This window comes from Homo sapiens, chromosome 16 (assembly GCF_000001405.40).
Source record: "Homo sapiens chromosome 16, GRCh38.p14 Primary Assembly".
NCBI classification, from domain to species: domain Eukaryota; kingdom Metazoa; phylum Chordata; class Mammalia; order Primates; family Hominidae; genus Homo; species Homo sapiens.
This window is the reverse complement of record NC_000016.10, coordinates 62,967,408-62,982,888: the sequence shown is the minus strand read 5'-3', so window position 1 is coordinate 62,982,888 and position 15,481 is coordinate 62,967,408.

The window sequence follows — 15,481 nt, the reverse complement described above, 5'->3', positions numbered from 1 at the left end:
TTCTCAAAATACATTTTATTACCCAATCTGCTCTCGACATTAAATAAAACTCCAAAAATTAAATTCCGGCCCTCAAACCCCACAACAGGACTTAGTTAACCTCGCCTTCAAGGTGTACAATAATAGAGTAGAGGCAGCCAAGTAGCAATGTATTTATGAGTTGCAATTACTTGCCTCCACTGTGAGACAAACACCAGCCACATCTCCAGCACACAAGAAATTCCAAATGCCTGAACTGCAGCAGCCAGGCATTCCTCCAGAACCTCCTCCCCCAGGAGCTTGCTACAAGTGCCAGAAATCTGGCCACCGAGCCAAGGAATGCCCGCAGCCCGGGATTCCTCCTAAGCCGTGTCCCATGTGTGCAGGACCCCACTGAAAATCGGACTGTTCAACTCACCTGGTAGCCACTTCCAGAGCCCCTGGAACTCTGGCCTAAGGCTCTCTGACTCCTTCCCAGATCTTCTTGGCTTAGCGGCTGAAGACTGACGCTGCCCGATCGCCTCAGAAGCCCCCGAGACCATCACGGATGCCGAGCTTCGGGTAACTCTCACAGTGGAGGGTAAGTCTGTCCCCTTCTTAGTCAACACGGAGGCTATCCACTCCACATTACCTTCTTTTCAAGGGCCTGTTTCCCTTGCCTCCATAACTGCTGTGGGTATTGACAGCCAGGCTTCTAAACCTCTTAAAACTCCCCAACTCTGGTGCCAACTTAGACAGTATTCTTTTAAGCACTCCTTTTTAGTTATCCCCACCTGCCTAGTTCCCTTATTAGGCTGAGACACTTTAACTAAATTATCTGCTTCCCTGACTATTCCTGGACTACAGCTACATCTCATTGCCACCCTTCTCCCCAACCCAAAGCCTCCTTTGTGTCCTCCTCTTGTATCCCCCCACCTTAACCCGCAAATATAAGATACCTCTACTCCCTCCTTGGCGACCAATCTTGCACTCCTTACCATCTCATTAAAACCTAATCACCCTTACCCCACTCAATGCCAATATCCCATCCCACAGCACGCTTTAAAAAGATTAAAGCCTGTTATCACTCTCCTGCTACAGCATGGCCTTTTAAAGCCTATAAACTCTCCTTACCATTCCCCCATTTTACCTGTCCTAAAACCAGACAAGCCTTACAAGTTAGTTCAGAATCTGCGCCTTATCAACCAAATTGTTTCGCCTGTCCACCCCGTGGTGCCAAACCCGTATCCTCTCCTATCCTGAATACCTCCCTCTACTACCCATTATTCTGTTCTAGATCTCAAACATGCTTTCTTTACTATTCCTTTGCACTCTTCATCCCAGCCTCTCTTTGCCTTCACTTAGACTGACCCTGACACCCATTAGGCTCAGCAAATTACCTGGGCTGTACTGCCGCAAGGCTTCACAGACAGCCCCCATTACTTCAATCAAGCCCAAATTTCATCCTCATCTGTTACCTATCTCGGCATAATTCTCATAAAAACACACGTGCTCTCCCTGCTGATCGTGTCTGATTAATCTTCCAAACCTCAATCCCTTACAAAACAACAACTCCTTTCCTTCCTAAGCATGGTTAGTGTGGTCAGAATCCTTACACAAGAGCCAGGACCGCACCCTGTAGCCTTTCTGTCCAAACAACTTGACCTTACTGTTTTAGCCTAGCCCTCATGTCTGTGTGCAGCGGCTGCTGCTGCTTTAATACTTTTAGAGGCCCTAAAAATCACAAACTATGCTCAACTCACTCTCTACATTTCTCATAACTTCCAAAATCTATTTTCTTCCTCATACCTGACGCATATACTTTCGGCTCCCCAGCTCCTTCAGCTGTACTCACTCTTTGTTAAGTCCCACAATTACCATTGTTCCTGGCCCGGACTTCAATCTGGCCTCCCACATTATTCCTGATACCACACCTGACCCCCATGACTGTATCTCTCTGATCCACCTGATATTCACCCCATTTCCCCATATTTCCTTCTTTCCTGTTCCTCACCCTGATCATGCTTGATTTATTGATGGCAGTTCCACCAGGCCTAATCGCCACACAACAGCAAAGGCAGGCTATGCTATAGTACAAGCCACTAGCCCGCCTCTCAGAACCTCTCATTTCCTTTCCATCGTGGAAATCTATCCTCAAGAAAATAACTTCTCAGTGTTCCATCTGCTATTCTACTACTCCTCAGGGATTATTCAGGCCCCCTCCCTTCCCTACACATCAAGCTCAAGGATTTGCCCCCACCCAGGACTGGCAAATTAGCTTTATTCAACATGCCCCAAGTCAGGAAACTAAAATACCTCTTAGTCTAAATAGACAGTTTCACTGAATAAGTAAAGGCCTTTCCTACAGGGTCTGAGAAGGCCACCGCAGTCATTTCTTCCCTTCTGTCAGACATAATTCCTCAGTTTAGCCTTCCCACCTCGATACAGTCTGATAGCAGACCAGCCTTTATTAGTCAAATCAGCCAAGCAGTTTTTCAGGCTCTTAGTATTCAGTGAAACCTTTATATCCCTTACGGTCCTCTGTCTTCAAGAAAAGTAGAACGGACTAAAGGTCTTTTAAAAACAGACCTCACCAAGCTCAGCCACCAACTTAAAAAGACTGGACAATACTTTTACCACTTTCCCTTCTTAGAAGTCAGACCTGTCCTCGGCATGCTACAAGGTACAGCCCATTTGAGCTCCTTTTTATTAGGCCCCAGTCTCATTCCAGACACCGGACCAACTTAGACTGTGCCCCCAAAAAACTTGTCATCCCTACTATTTTCTGTCTAGTCATACTCCTGTTCTCCATTCTCAACTACTCATACATGCCCTGCTCTTGTTTACACTGCCGTTTTACACTGTTTCTCCAAGCCATCACAGCTGATATCTCCTCCTGCTATCCCCAACCTGCCACTCTTAACTCTTGAAGTAAATAAACAATCTTTGCTGGCAGGACTATGCTGAATCTCCTTAGGCACTCTAATCAGATGTCCTAGGTCCTCCCAATTCTTAGACCTTTTCCATTTAGTTTTTCAATTCATACAAAACCGTATCCAGGCCATCACCAATAATTCTACACGACAAATTTTTCTTCTAATAACCGCACAATATCACCCCTTACCACAAAATCTCCCTTCAGCTTAATCTCTCCCACTCTAGGTTCCCACGCTGCCCCTAATCCCGCTTGAAGCAGCCCTGAGTAACATCGCCCATTCTCTCTCCATACCACCCCCGAAAATTTTCGCTGCCCCAAGACTTCAACACTATTTTATTTTTCTTATTAATGTAAGAAGGCAGGAATGTCAGGCCTCTGAACCCAAGCCAAGCCATCGCATCCCCTGTGACTTGCATATATACATCCAGATGGCCTGAAGTAACTGAAGATCCACAAAAGAAGTAAAAATAGCCTTAACTGATGACATTCCACCATTGTGATTTGTTTCTGTCCCACCCTAACTGGTCAATGTACTTTGTAATCTCCCCCACGCTTAAGAAGTTTCTTTGTAATTCTCCCCACCCTTGAGAATGTACTTTGTGAGATCCACCCTGCCCACAAAACATTGCTCTTAACTTCACCGCCTATCCCAAAACCTATAAGAACTAATGATAATCCACCACCCTTCCCTGACTCTCTTTTCGGACTCAGCCTGCACCCAGGTGAAATAAACAGCCATGTTGCTCAAAAAAAAAAAAAGAAAAAAGAAAAAAAAAATGAGTGAATGAGAGAGAGAGAGAGTGTGTGTTTGTGTTGTGTTTAGGGAGTGGAGTAGGGAGTGAAGGACAATGGGGAAGGAGAGAGCAGAAAAAGGAAAAAGCTTTCATGCTTTTCAGAAGGAAGAGAAATTTATAAATCTAAACGGAAGAAAACTAATATATGATTCTCTCCCTTGAAGAAAACTCCTTATAAGGTTTTGGTTTTAATCTATTTGCTTAGCTATTTTAGCTGTAGTATTTTAAAATGGAAATGGCAAGTTTAAAACTATGGACTTCCCACATTTGTTTTACTGAGTAATATTACAGAAATGGCAGTAAGTTCAGAGGGACTGTTCATTTAAAATACGTTCCAATTGTTGAAACATAAAAACTGACTAGTGACTGATTCTGAAGTCACCTAGTGACTTCAGTGCATATTTATAAATGCATAAAGTGCTAGATAAAATGCATCCAGCTCCAATGAATGATGGGGGTATTTCTTAAGGCAGAGCAAGTGTTTGGTTTGCTCTCTCTGCCTAGAACATTAACCAAGGTCAGAGAGTGCTTAGAATCAAGTTTGTGTAACTCTTTCATATGCATTCTTAAAAGTATCATATCATTATTACTCATGTCCTGCAAAGATCAGGTGATAGCCTGAACCATATTAATGCTAGATTTAAGTACATCAAATTCATAAACACTTTGTGCTGTACTTTATAAAAATAACACCTTAATTTATATAATCCATTAGAATTTCATAACATTTTCATTATTATCTCATTCAGTATCTCAAGAATCCTTGGAGTATGAACCTTTAATCCAATGATTCTCCACTGTGGGCAATTTTGCTCCCCACCCAGCAGACATCTGACAGTGCCTGGAGACATTTTTGGTTGTCACATCTCACAATGACCAGGACAGGCCCCACCCCAATTACAGTGAATTATCTGGCCCCAAATTTGAATATCGTCAATGTTTGTAAACACTTTAACCCATCTTTAAAGAAATCCTGCTTTAATCCCTCTTTAAAGATGACTAAAACAGGTACCTGAGAACCTAAATTGCCTGAGGTCACATAGCTGGTCATGTATTCTCTTTCCCAGTCTTAGGACTAGAAGCCAAATATCACCACTTATTCATATGTTACCTCCATAGTCATTGTGACTGCATTCTATATGAGTGTTTCAGTGCTCAGTCATGTTATAAAAATGTCAGATTAAAGGAAAATCTCTCCTTTTGATTTGCAAAGTCAAGGAGAAGACATGCAGGACTTGCAGGGGCAGGGTTGGGGCAGTACTCTGACAGGATCTCAGCATGGGTTGCCTTTGGTTCCTGGAGCTGTCCCAGGACTAAGGGACAGGGGGTGCCAGATGAGAAGGAACGCAGGTGAAAAAAGTCTCATTATCAAATTAAAACTTAGACGAGGGAAAAAAGGGAGAATAAGGGGATTTGTCCAGGGAGGAAGGAGAGATGATTCATGAGGATATTCGTGTGGATGAAGAAAGAACTGCCTGGAGCAATTCTTCGATTCCAGTTCAAGTGCCCAGTGGGTTTTAAGTGATGCCTGCAGGTGATGTTTTGGGTGTGCTAAGAGCACTTTCAATGATTCTAAATTGAGATGAGCTTCAGACACACAAGACAAGCTAGTTTAAAAGCAGGAAATTCTGACCCATCATCAGAAATTCTGATTCATTAGCTATGGGTTGGGGCCTGGCAAACTGTACTGTAGCACACTCCCCTTATTGATTCTGATGGTGAGGGTCAGAATAAGTCAAATGCTGGAGGTAGCCAGACCTGAAACACAGAGCGAGTACACCTGGATCCTCCTCTCTCTCCTGGTAATGTCTAGCCCAGTGTTCAGAAACACTGGAGATTTACTGCTGGTTTTCCAACTCAATTATCTGAAACCCCTTTTATGGACACTACAGAAGACACTCAGGTATATAAAATATAAAAATATAAAATACGACAACTGTAAATCTAAGTGTTTTATAACATTAGTTACCTGGAAATAGTTTCTACCTAAAGCTCCGTTTCCATCAGGAAGCAGGTATTAAAGTCTCCCCTCCTCATTCATTTTTTTCTTTGGTCCCTGAAGTTGTAGGAGAGTGAATAGCTTGCCTATTTCTTTAGATAGGGGAGGAGATACCTTTTCACAACTTAGCTGTGGCTCTCTTTTTTGGATTCACAACAGTTATACTGCTCTAATGATAGGGGAAAATATCTGTTACAAACAAAATCCGTAATATTATGGATCGAAAGTATTCTAGGTAAAGTATGAGTCTGGGGTTTTTCTTGGTCCATTTTGTTTTATCCCTTCCAACAGCTATGAGTGACTGGATATAGATGTGGGTTTGGATGGGAGTGAAGATGGCCTTGAGGGATTAGGACAAGCTGGCTAGCCCGGAGTTACCATCTTTTCATGTAGGCACTTACTGACATGCACATCTTTTAGTTTGGTTTTTAGCGGTTGCCACATCACCTTGCTGGAAACCATTACTTCTGTCAGGTCTCTGGCCTTGTGCTTCATGAGTTTGTCCCTACAACCTTGAGTCTGGCTGTAATGCTTTGGCAGCTCTGCATACTTTGGTGGTCATTTGATCTCCCTGATACAAGTATTGTCCTGGGTGCTTAACTAACCCTCATTCTTCATATAACTTCACCCACTACATCTGATTGGTAAGTTTTCGTCTTAAATACTCCTCAAATCCACTCACCTTTACTACCTTATTTCTGATTGCAATTATTCACTTGGATCATTATAGTAGATTTCAAATTGCTCCTTCTACCTCCAGACATGAAGATCCTGAATCCACGTATTGAAATGCAATACCTGGATACTCAACGTGTATAGAATAAAATACTGAAATTGATGTATTTTGGCATGACTGGCAAGTTGCCCACCTCCTTGGCTCCTGCTACATCCTACATTATATTTTAAAGTTCTAAGGTGAAGGTGCTGGAGTAGTTACAGAACCCCATGTACACCACTCTCCTTCCTGGCTCCAAACATTAGCTCTTCCCTCTCCCTGGGATGCCCTTCCTAACTTTATTTATCTGGACAAATTAAACAGACACTTTAAGATTCAGCCTATAACTCACCATCAATGTGAGATACTCTCTGGTCTTCCTTTCTCTAAATTCCTCTGGAAAATTTGGTTACTTTTATCATGACATTTACCATCTCGAATGGAAAAATGTATCCTGTTTCTAAGAAGTGGTTCCTTAAGCAAGTAAGGACTATATCATACTCATACTCATTGTTTCTTTCATTTCAGTCTCAAGCAAAATGCCTGGAAGACATAACAGTCATTCAATACATCCTTGTTGACACAGGAGGTGCTCTGAATTTTTTTTTTTTTTTTTTTTCTTTTCTGAGATGGAGTCCCACTCTGTTGCCCAGGCTGGAGTGCAGTGGCGTGATCTCAGCTCACTGCAAGCTCTGCCTCCTGGGTTCACGCCATTCTCCTACCCCAGCCTCCTGAGTAGCTGGGACTACAGGCACCTGCCACTGCGCCCAGCTAATATTTTTTATTTTTATTTTTTTATTTTTAGTAGAGACAGGGTTTCACCATGTTAGCCAGGATGGTCTCAAACTCCTGACCTTGTGATCCTCCCGCCTCGGCCTCCCAAAGTGCTGGGATTACAGGCGTGAGCCACCGCGCCAGGCCTGAACATGTGTTTAACTACTCAGACCTGACCATGTTTTGAGTCTCTAATTTGGAGTTTGTTTGTGGTTTTGAGGACTGAGAAGGCTGCCATGTTACTAAGTTGCCTCCACTTCTTTAGTATGACAGGAAACAAACTCTACCAAAGAGACTCAGAATAGACAAGCTTAAGTTTATTCTACCCACTTTGTTCCTGTTCTACTGCATAGGAAATTTTCTCTCCACTAGTTCCCCTGAAAAGTGGTAACTCTCAGTTATACTTATGTGTTTCACATTATATTGAATGCTCTTTTACATTTACTAATATATCTCCCCTTTTCTTTTGCTCCCCTTTTTTTCCTTTGTTTTATAGAATCCATCATCACCATGTCCTCTGTATTTTCCTAGTGCCTGAATGCCACCTTTGCCTTCTCAGAACAACCATTCCTTTTCCAAAACTGTATAGCTAAATGTTTTAAAAAACAAAATGTAAATGTTTTAAAAAAACAAAATTGAAGTTGCTGAAAGACTCCCCCTTATACCTGACTCCAAGAAAAGTGGCGAATTCATCTGGGCTTTCACTGTGGCTACAGTGACCTTAATGGCTTGAAGTGATTTTCCAGCATTGTAGCTCAAAAAAGATCTGTCGCTAGTCCATTCCAGAGCCCTTTATAAAAGTGAGCTATTCATTAACCCAAAAAAGGAGAAAGACAGAATAGTTAGAGAAATCACATATTTGACCTAGCAGAAGCTGTCTCTCTGGAAAATTGCTGAACTATATCAGACAATGTGAAAATCCATTCTTAAACCTTAAAAAATGTCCTTTCTCTGACATATTTGCGTAAGACACTTGAGCAATCCTGTGAAAACTATCCTCAGTGGTTTCCTAAAGTGTTGAGTGCTGGCAGAATCAGAGGCCAATTTCACCCTGTTCACACCTTCTTCCTTAGGTGCCAATTGCTATTCCCCAGCCCTGGGTCTCTACCAGGTCTCTTTTGGCATATCCCAACCCATCTGTCAGACACATCAATTCTGGGTTGTCTAAGTCTGCTGTTTTATCCAGGGATTTAAAAGCATGTTTTACATTAACTTAGCTGCCTAAAATAAAAATTGAACTTTGTGCTCCCTCTGCCTGGGGGAATCAGTTTTATAATGAGTGATCACTGTAAAAAAGTTTCACTGTAAATTCCTGATTAGATTGTATAGTTCCTCCAATAAAAAGAAAACTCAAAGCAAGCAAGATTGATTCTTATTAATTTAAACATTAACACCAAAAGACATAAAAAGAAGTGCCATGGACTATGATATTTGTTTTTAAATAAAAAATAAATATGGTATAAGTCTAACAAAATAAAAAACAAAAATTAAATGAGGAGAGGATTTCTAGGTTTTTGTCTGAACTGTCAACTAAAAAGTGGTGTGACCCAAGCCAAATGACTAATTTCATTGAGGTTCGATTTACTTATATGTAAAGGTTATGTCCTGAGGTTTATTAATGAAATTAACTTTTTCATATATAACCTTTATGACATTTTTTCCTGTTTTGCTGTATATTTAGAATACCTTCTTTCATTTCCATTTCCCATTTAGAAAAATGCTTCTCTTTGTTGAAGATTTAGTCAACCACCTATCCTATAAAAACGCTTAAGAAAGGCCGGGCACAGTGGCTCATGCCTGTAATCCCTATACTTTCGGAGGCCTAGGCAGGTGGATCACCTGAGGTCTCAAGTTTGAGACCAACCTGGCCAACATGATGAAACCCCATCTCTACTAAAAATACAAAAAATTAGCCAGCCGTGGTGGCAGGCACCTGTAATCCCAGCTACTCAGGAGGCCTGAGGCAGGAGAATCACTTGAATCCGGGAGGCAGGGTTTGCAGTGAGCTGAGATTGTGCCACTGCATTCCAGCCTGGGTAATAAGAGCGAAACTCCACCTCAAAAAAATTTAAAAAGTAAGATAAATAAAATGGCTTTTCTAGCCAAAGCTGCTCTTTTCTGGCACACTTGTTTTTCAGTTCTCCTTGCACCAATAGCACATTGCATTGTTTTGTCTTAGCACTTATTTTATTGTGCTGTGATGATCTGTTTACTTGGACCTTTACCACACTAGTGTGTACAAAGGGTCTACATTTTTATGATTTTCATCCTGGCATCTAGTGCTCAGAACTGTAGCCAGAACACAGTAAGTGCTCACTATTTGATTCTCTTTGGCTTGAATGGATGTATTCTTACCAAGCACAAATTATCCCAGCCTAACCTCTTTCTCTAGCCACTGCTGCACTGACCAGTTCTAAACAGTCTTTCATCAGCCTGGCTTGAGAGCAACCCAAAGCTCTTCACCGTGAACCTGTGTCATACATCTCTTACTTTCTACCTGAGTGCTTCTTGAATACCCTGTGTAGGATACTTGGTGCACTCATACACAAGCAAGCAGAAAATGCAAGAGAATTAGCGATCCTGGGACCCCACTTAACCAATGCCAGTTAATACAGTTTCCACCCTTTATTCCTCTAGATGCATAGCTCTGAGATAGTGTGCATACGTCTTCTCAGAATGTTCTAGAAAGGCTGAAAGCTCTAGTCATCCACAGCAGTGGCTTACTATAATATGCATCTTTATTTTGGTTTTCTCTTCTTCCCTATTTCACTTCAGTACCTTTCTTATGAATTATTTCCCAAATAAGATACCTGTACTTAACCCCTTTCTCAGCCTCTGCTTTTGGTTAAACCAAACATCCACTAAAGTTCATGATCCTGAAATGTTCAAGGAAGAATGATATCTATGTTCCTGAAAAGTAAAGGTCCATATTGCAACGTTTAAAGTTTCCCTAAATGCGTTAGAGTGTAGTTTTCCAAAATTAATCAATTTCAGTTCTACATGACCTTTACAGAACTTTGTCACTTTCCCATCAAGAACTGGAGTCCACATCCCTCCCCTTGAATCTGGTTGGACTTTTGTGACTGGCTTGATTAATAGAATATACAGGAAGTTAAGTTGTGGAAATCTCAAGGATAGATTAGAAGATGCACTTTCCATCTATCTCCCTATTGGGAAACATTACTTTGAAGCCCTGAACTTCCATATAAGAAATCCAGCCACCCTAAAGATGCCATGCTGGAGAGAACCTATGAAAAAACCAATAGAGGTAGAGATGCCAAGGCGCCCCAGCTGTTCCAGCCTCTGCTAGTGTCTCCCAATTGAGGTTTCAGGTACGTGGGATAAGAAACCTTTGAAATGACCTGAGCCCCAGCCACATTCTGAACACAAATTCATCAGAGGCTATCAACCAGAACCTTTCAGCTGGGTCACTTCTAAATCCTGACTTACAGAAACAGTGAAAGATAATAAGTGATTGTTGTTTTAACCCACCAAGTTTGGAGTAATTTTTTATGCAGAATATATGACTTTAACACTAGGTGACAACATCTTGTTTTAATTCTATATCTTTCAAATATGTAGTCTTACACCCCTCATGAATAAAATAAATTGATAAAAATAATACTAAATATTTATTGATAACCTCAAATTAGGGCAAGAAAATGTTCCATACTTGTGCCTAGCAGATACAGAGACATTTTTGCATTCTGCCAAACTAGTTGGCCACTGTGATGGAAATAAATCAGATCACAGAATTACTTTGTGTTATAAAGAACAATAAGATGAAATAAAATCAAGATAAACTCAGCTAATTCTATTTGGTTGCTCAATTTACAAATCATGCAATTGAGATCTTATGTAAGCAGTAATAACTGTATGTTCAACCTTGATAAATTTGATACTACTGTTTTCACCTTTAAATGCATTCGGAAACATTCTTTAAAGGGAAAAACTATCCAAACTAAAATATGCTAAAGCACAGCAGCAATTTGGTAATCTCCAATTACAGTAAGAATGCTGTAGTGCATTGGAAAAGAAATCCACAAATTCTTTGCTGTACCTCTTATCAATAGATTGTTTATTTCTCCATCTGTTAAATTTTGACTTGGCAATACGACTTCTACCATTATATCATAGTAAACATGACTGAAGAAGAAGTTGAAAATTGGAGCTTGCCCACTCTTCATGCAGGGAACTCTTCAACAATCATGTGAAGAAGCTCCAGCTAGCCTCCTAGAAGATGAGAAACTACATAAAGGCCCCATTTATCTTAGCTCGCCCAATAGTCCCAGCTGACATTCCATATATTTAAGCCCAGCCATCCTGAACTGTCTAGCCCTACATGAGCTGGCCCAGGCTAGAACTTCCCAGCCAATTTATAGAATTCCAAGCAAATAATTAATGTTTATTGTGTTAATTCACTAAGTTTAGGGTGGTTTGTTATATATTAAAAAACTGATACAAATGGAAGTTGCTTTTATTAGATGAATCACATAAAAATATATGCTTCCTTTTTACCTTTCCAGCACTCCCATACTCAAGTATAGTGTTGCCAGGGATAGTCTGTTTCCTTTGCACTATTCATTCCTGGAAATCACTTTCATGCTGTAATTACAGGCATGATGGCAGTGCCTGATTCCCAAGTGAGCCAAGCTGCTGAACTTAAATTCACTTGACCAGCTGGGTCAGTGAAAATAAATGGCTTTCTTTGACCAGACTTGGCTTGGCTCCCTTAATAGTATCATTTTATATCCCTGGTTCAAGGACACAATTTTGCTGGTCAGGGGCATATTACTGATAAACATGCCACAAAGAAATAGTTAGCTTGAACAGCAGATGCAATTTTTTTTTTTCCACACAAGAGATTCCAAAAAGTTTTCTTCTTCTGATTTGGCCTGAAGGTCAAACCTCATTAAAGGTTAAAATAATGGTTTGGCTAAGTTTGACTAGTAAGGAAACTGCTTAAATTCTACTTTTCAGAAGCAGTACATTTGGAACTGGACACCTTGTTCATAATCACTGTGATCGCTTGTATTCTGGGAGTGAAATTGCTTTTCTCCCATTCTTAAACTGTGCAAGGAAACTAGGTACGTATCTCATTGTGACTGGTGTACTAGAGAAAACACCTCATTCTTTATGTATTTTCAGCTTCCATCAATAGTTCTACAGCACAATGTCAAAAATCCATGCACCTTCAAACTTCTCAGGTGTCACATTGTATCAAACACGCCATAATAGATAATCTACAGGCACAGCCTTCACAATAACTATTTTGTAGCTCACAGGCATGACACAGTTAACATCACACTTTGAACTGAATAATCTGACAACTTTTCATTTAAAAATAATAAAGGGCTCACAAGGCGCATTTTCCCCATACATGTTTTATTTCGTAGCACTTCCAAACTTCTAGTTTGTATTATTCTCTCCCTGACATTTTGCATGTCATATGGAGAGTCTCCTCAGGGAAAGTAAATCAGATTTCTGCCTGGAGTGCAAACTGACTAATAATAATCATCACCATAAAGGAGTCTGTTGTGTTTGGGACCAAAAGTGCTGTCTGGTTGTTATGGCAACCAGGATTTGAAAAGGGATGCCTGGTTGTAAGGGGCAGGCACCAGCATCCCAAAACCAATTCTTCATCCAAGCTTCTCCCAGCAGAATAATTTCCAGTCATTTCTAAAATGGATGCAGAGTGATGAATTGTCAGCTCATATGAACTAATCTCACTCAGGAAAAGGACCACATTTTCATCACAGAATTTGACATTTTCCCCTTTTCACTGGACTGATGTTGACAAAGGAGGGAGGCTAAGTGTATGGCCCTGGTTAAGACCATATATCAAGACTGCTAATTGATACTACAGAGAAGATGCATGTATCTGGTAGGGCATCTCTTCCTCTTGAAACTGTGCTCTTTCTTTTTTTTCCTTCCTTTAACATTTAAATGTATTTTATTTATTCCTCTTCTCAAAGTACTTCACTGACTTCCCATTTTCTTTAACTTCACAATCTAAGATTCCCACTTAATCACCTTTGCTGTAACAGCTTCCTTTCTCTACTTAAATTTGTTATTATATTTTTGCTTATAAAGTTTAGTTCCTCTTGGATATAACCTTTTATCTGCCTAGGAAAAAATCATCTTTTTAGACTCAATTCATTTGCAATCTTTTTGAGGATTTTGTGCTATCTACCCCTATCCTCCCACCTACATACAGAATACATGCTCCTCATCTTAAGCTGCATCTATGTAGAATTTGAGAATGTATTTTTTCAATAATATATTTTGATAGTCTACATTTCTTATTATAAGATAATTTAGAAGAGATATGCTACAGAGTTAGAAGAGTTCTTTGTATTACATAGGAAATCCTAAATACATTTTAAATCAATTTATATTCACCAATTTTTATCAGAGTTAAATTGTAGTTACATAAAATTTAGAAGACATAGTAACCATTTTACCAACAAAATACTTTATCACACAATTATTTTACCTGTAACATATTTCTCTCTGTCAATTGTGTACTAATTTTATAATTTTACATAATTGAAACTGTTGCATGTGTACAATTTTACTTATAGTTTTGTCCATTAATGCTATAACACAAACATTTCCCATATTTTGTCATTTTTCACAACTTATTTTCAATGCTTCATATCCATGCATCTATGACATGACAAGGCACTGTGCTAATCATTGAAAAGGAATAGGAAAATGAAACATTAGTCCTGCTCTCTAGAAGCTCTTATTCCAGTGATTAAACAACACACTAACACAACACCAAGAAGTTCTGAGGGAGGCAGACAGGGCCAGAAGAACAGTGAGAAAGGTTCATAAAGGCATGTCTGGAGCTATTGGAAAAGTTTATGACTTAATGTCGTCTCTTTTATGTAAATCATCTATTCAGGCTTTGCCCTGGCTTCTACTAATTTTATTTTTTATTTTTTTATTTTTATTTATTTTTTAGGAGATGGAGTCTAGCTCTGTTGTCCAGGCTGGAGTGCAGTGGCGTGATCTCGGCTCACTGCAACCTCTGCCTCCTGAGTTCAAGCAATTCTCCTGCCTTAGCCTCCTGAGTAGCTGGGACTACAGGCACCCACCACCACGCCTGGCTAATTTTTGTATTTTTAGTAGAGTCGGGGTTTCACCATGTTGGACAGGCTGGTCTTGAACTCCTGATGTCAGGGGATCCACCCGCCTTGGCCTCCCAAAGTGCTGGGATCACAGGCATGAGCCACCTCGCCCAGCTGGATTTTACTAAATTTAATACCTCACCTGGCAGCTCCCTAGCTACTCCCACTCAAGGTTCTCAATGTGACGATTTTGTCCTAACATCCACCCATCCTCACCAGAAGCCACTTCATATTTCTCAATTTTTTTTCTATATTGTCAAGTTTTATAAATAATTTCTTGAAATTTTAGATATGATAAATTGCGTTATTAATATCTGACATTTATTGACCACTTAATTTATTATTCCTACCATTGTATGCCGTCCAGTCAGCCACTACACTATATATGCATAGGCATTTTAGGGGACACAGATGTTTTGTTTTAGGCCATTAATTATTATTCTGAGCAATCTAATCACTGTTCTGCAGATTATTACGCTGGCCAGATCACACAACAGGACAGAGTCAAAAATCCCCATGTAAAATGCTCCAAATATGAACCCCAGCACAAGGTGGTCCTGGACCCAATTAGCCCACTGATTTTTTTTTTTTTTTTTTTTTTTTTTTTTTTTACTTAAATCTAGTGTCTGCCTCCTTTTTAAAATCATTCAATGCATTCCAGCAAAACCAAGGTGTTGCGGAATGCATGGAGCTTGATTGCCCAAGAGGGAAGCATTAATCACCATGATCCTGATGCTTAGCTTGTTTTCTCTACCAATTTAAGAACTTAGCAACAAAACCCTAGCAATCCAGGTGTTTTAGTGAAATATCATTCTTAGTCATCCATGTTGCGAGGTAAAACAATCAGTGTGTTCTAATAAGCCCTGCAGAAACACTCTTTTGTAGTGTAACCCCCATGCTGGTTTTTTTTTTTTTTTTTTTTTTTTGGCTCAGACAAGCTCTAATAATACTTCCCCATTTCTTGATGCTTGCTGAGGGGCCACTTCACATGGCTCTTCAGACATGACAACTGCCAGTGCCTTCAAGACATAACTTCAACCCACCCCATTTGAAAACATATTGCTGACTTTCCACACCTGCAATGGCTTACAGGATGGAGGGGGGATTATTGCCTCACAGCTGCATCTTGAAATTAAAGTCCGTTTCATTTACTTGACCCTGGAGCCT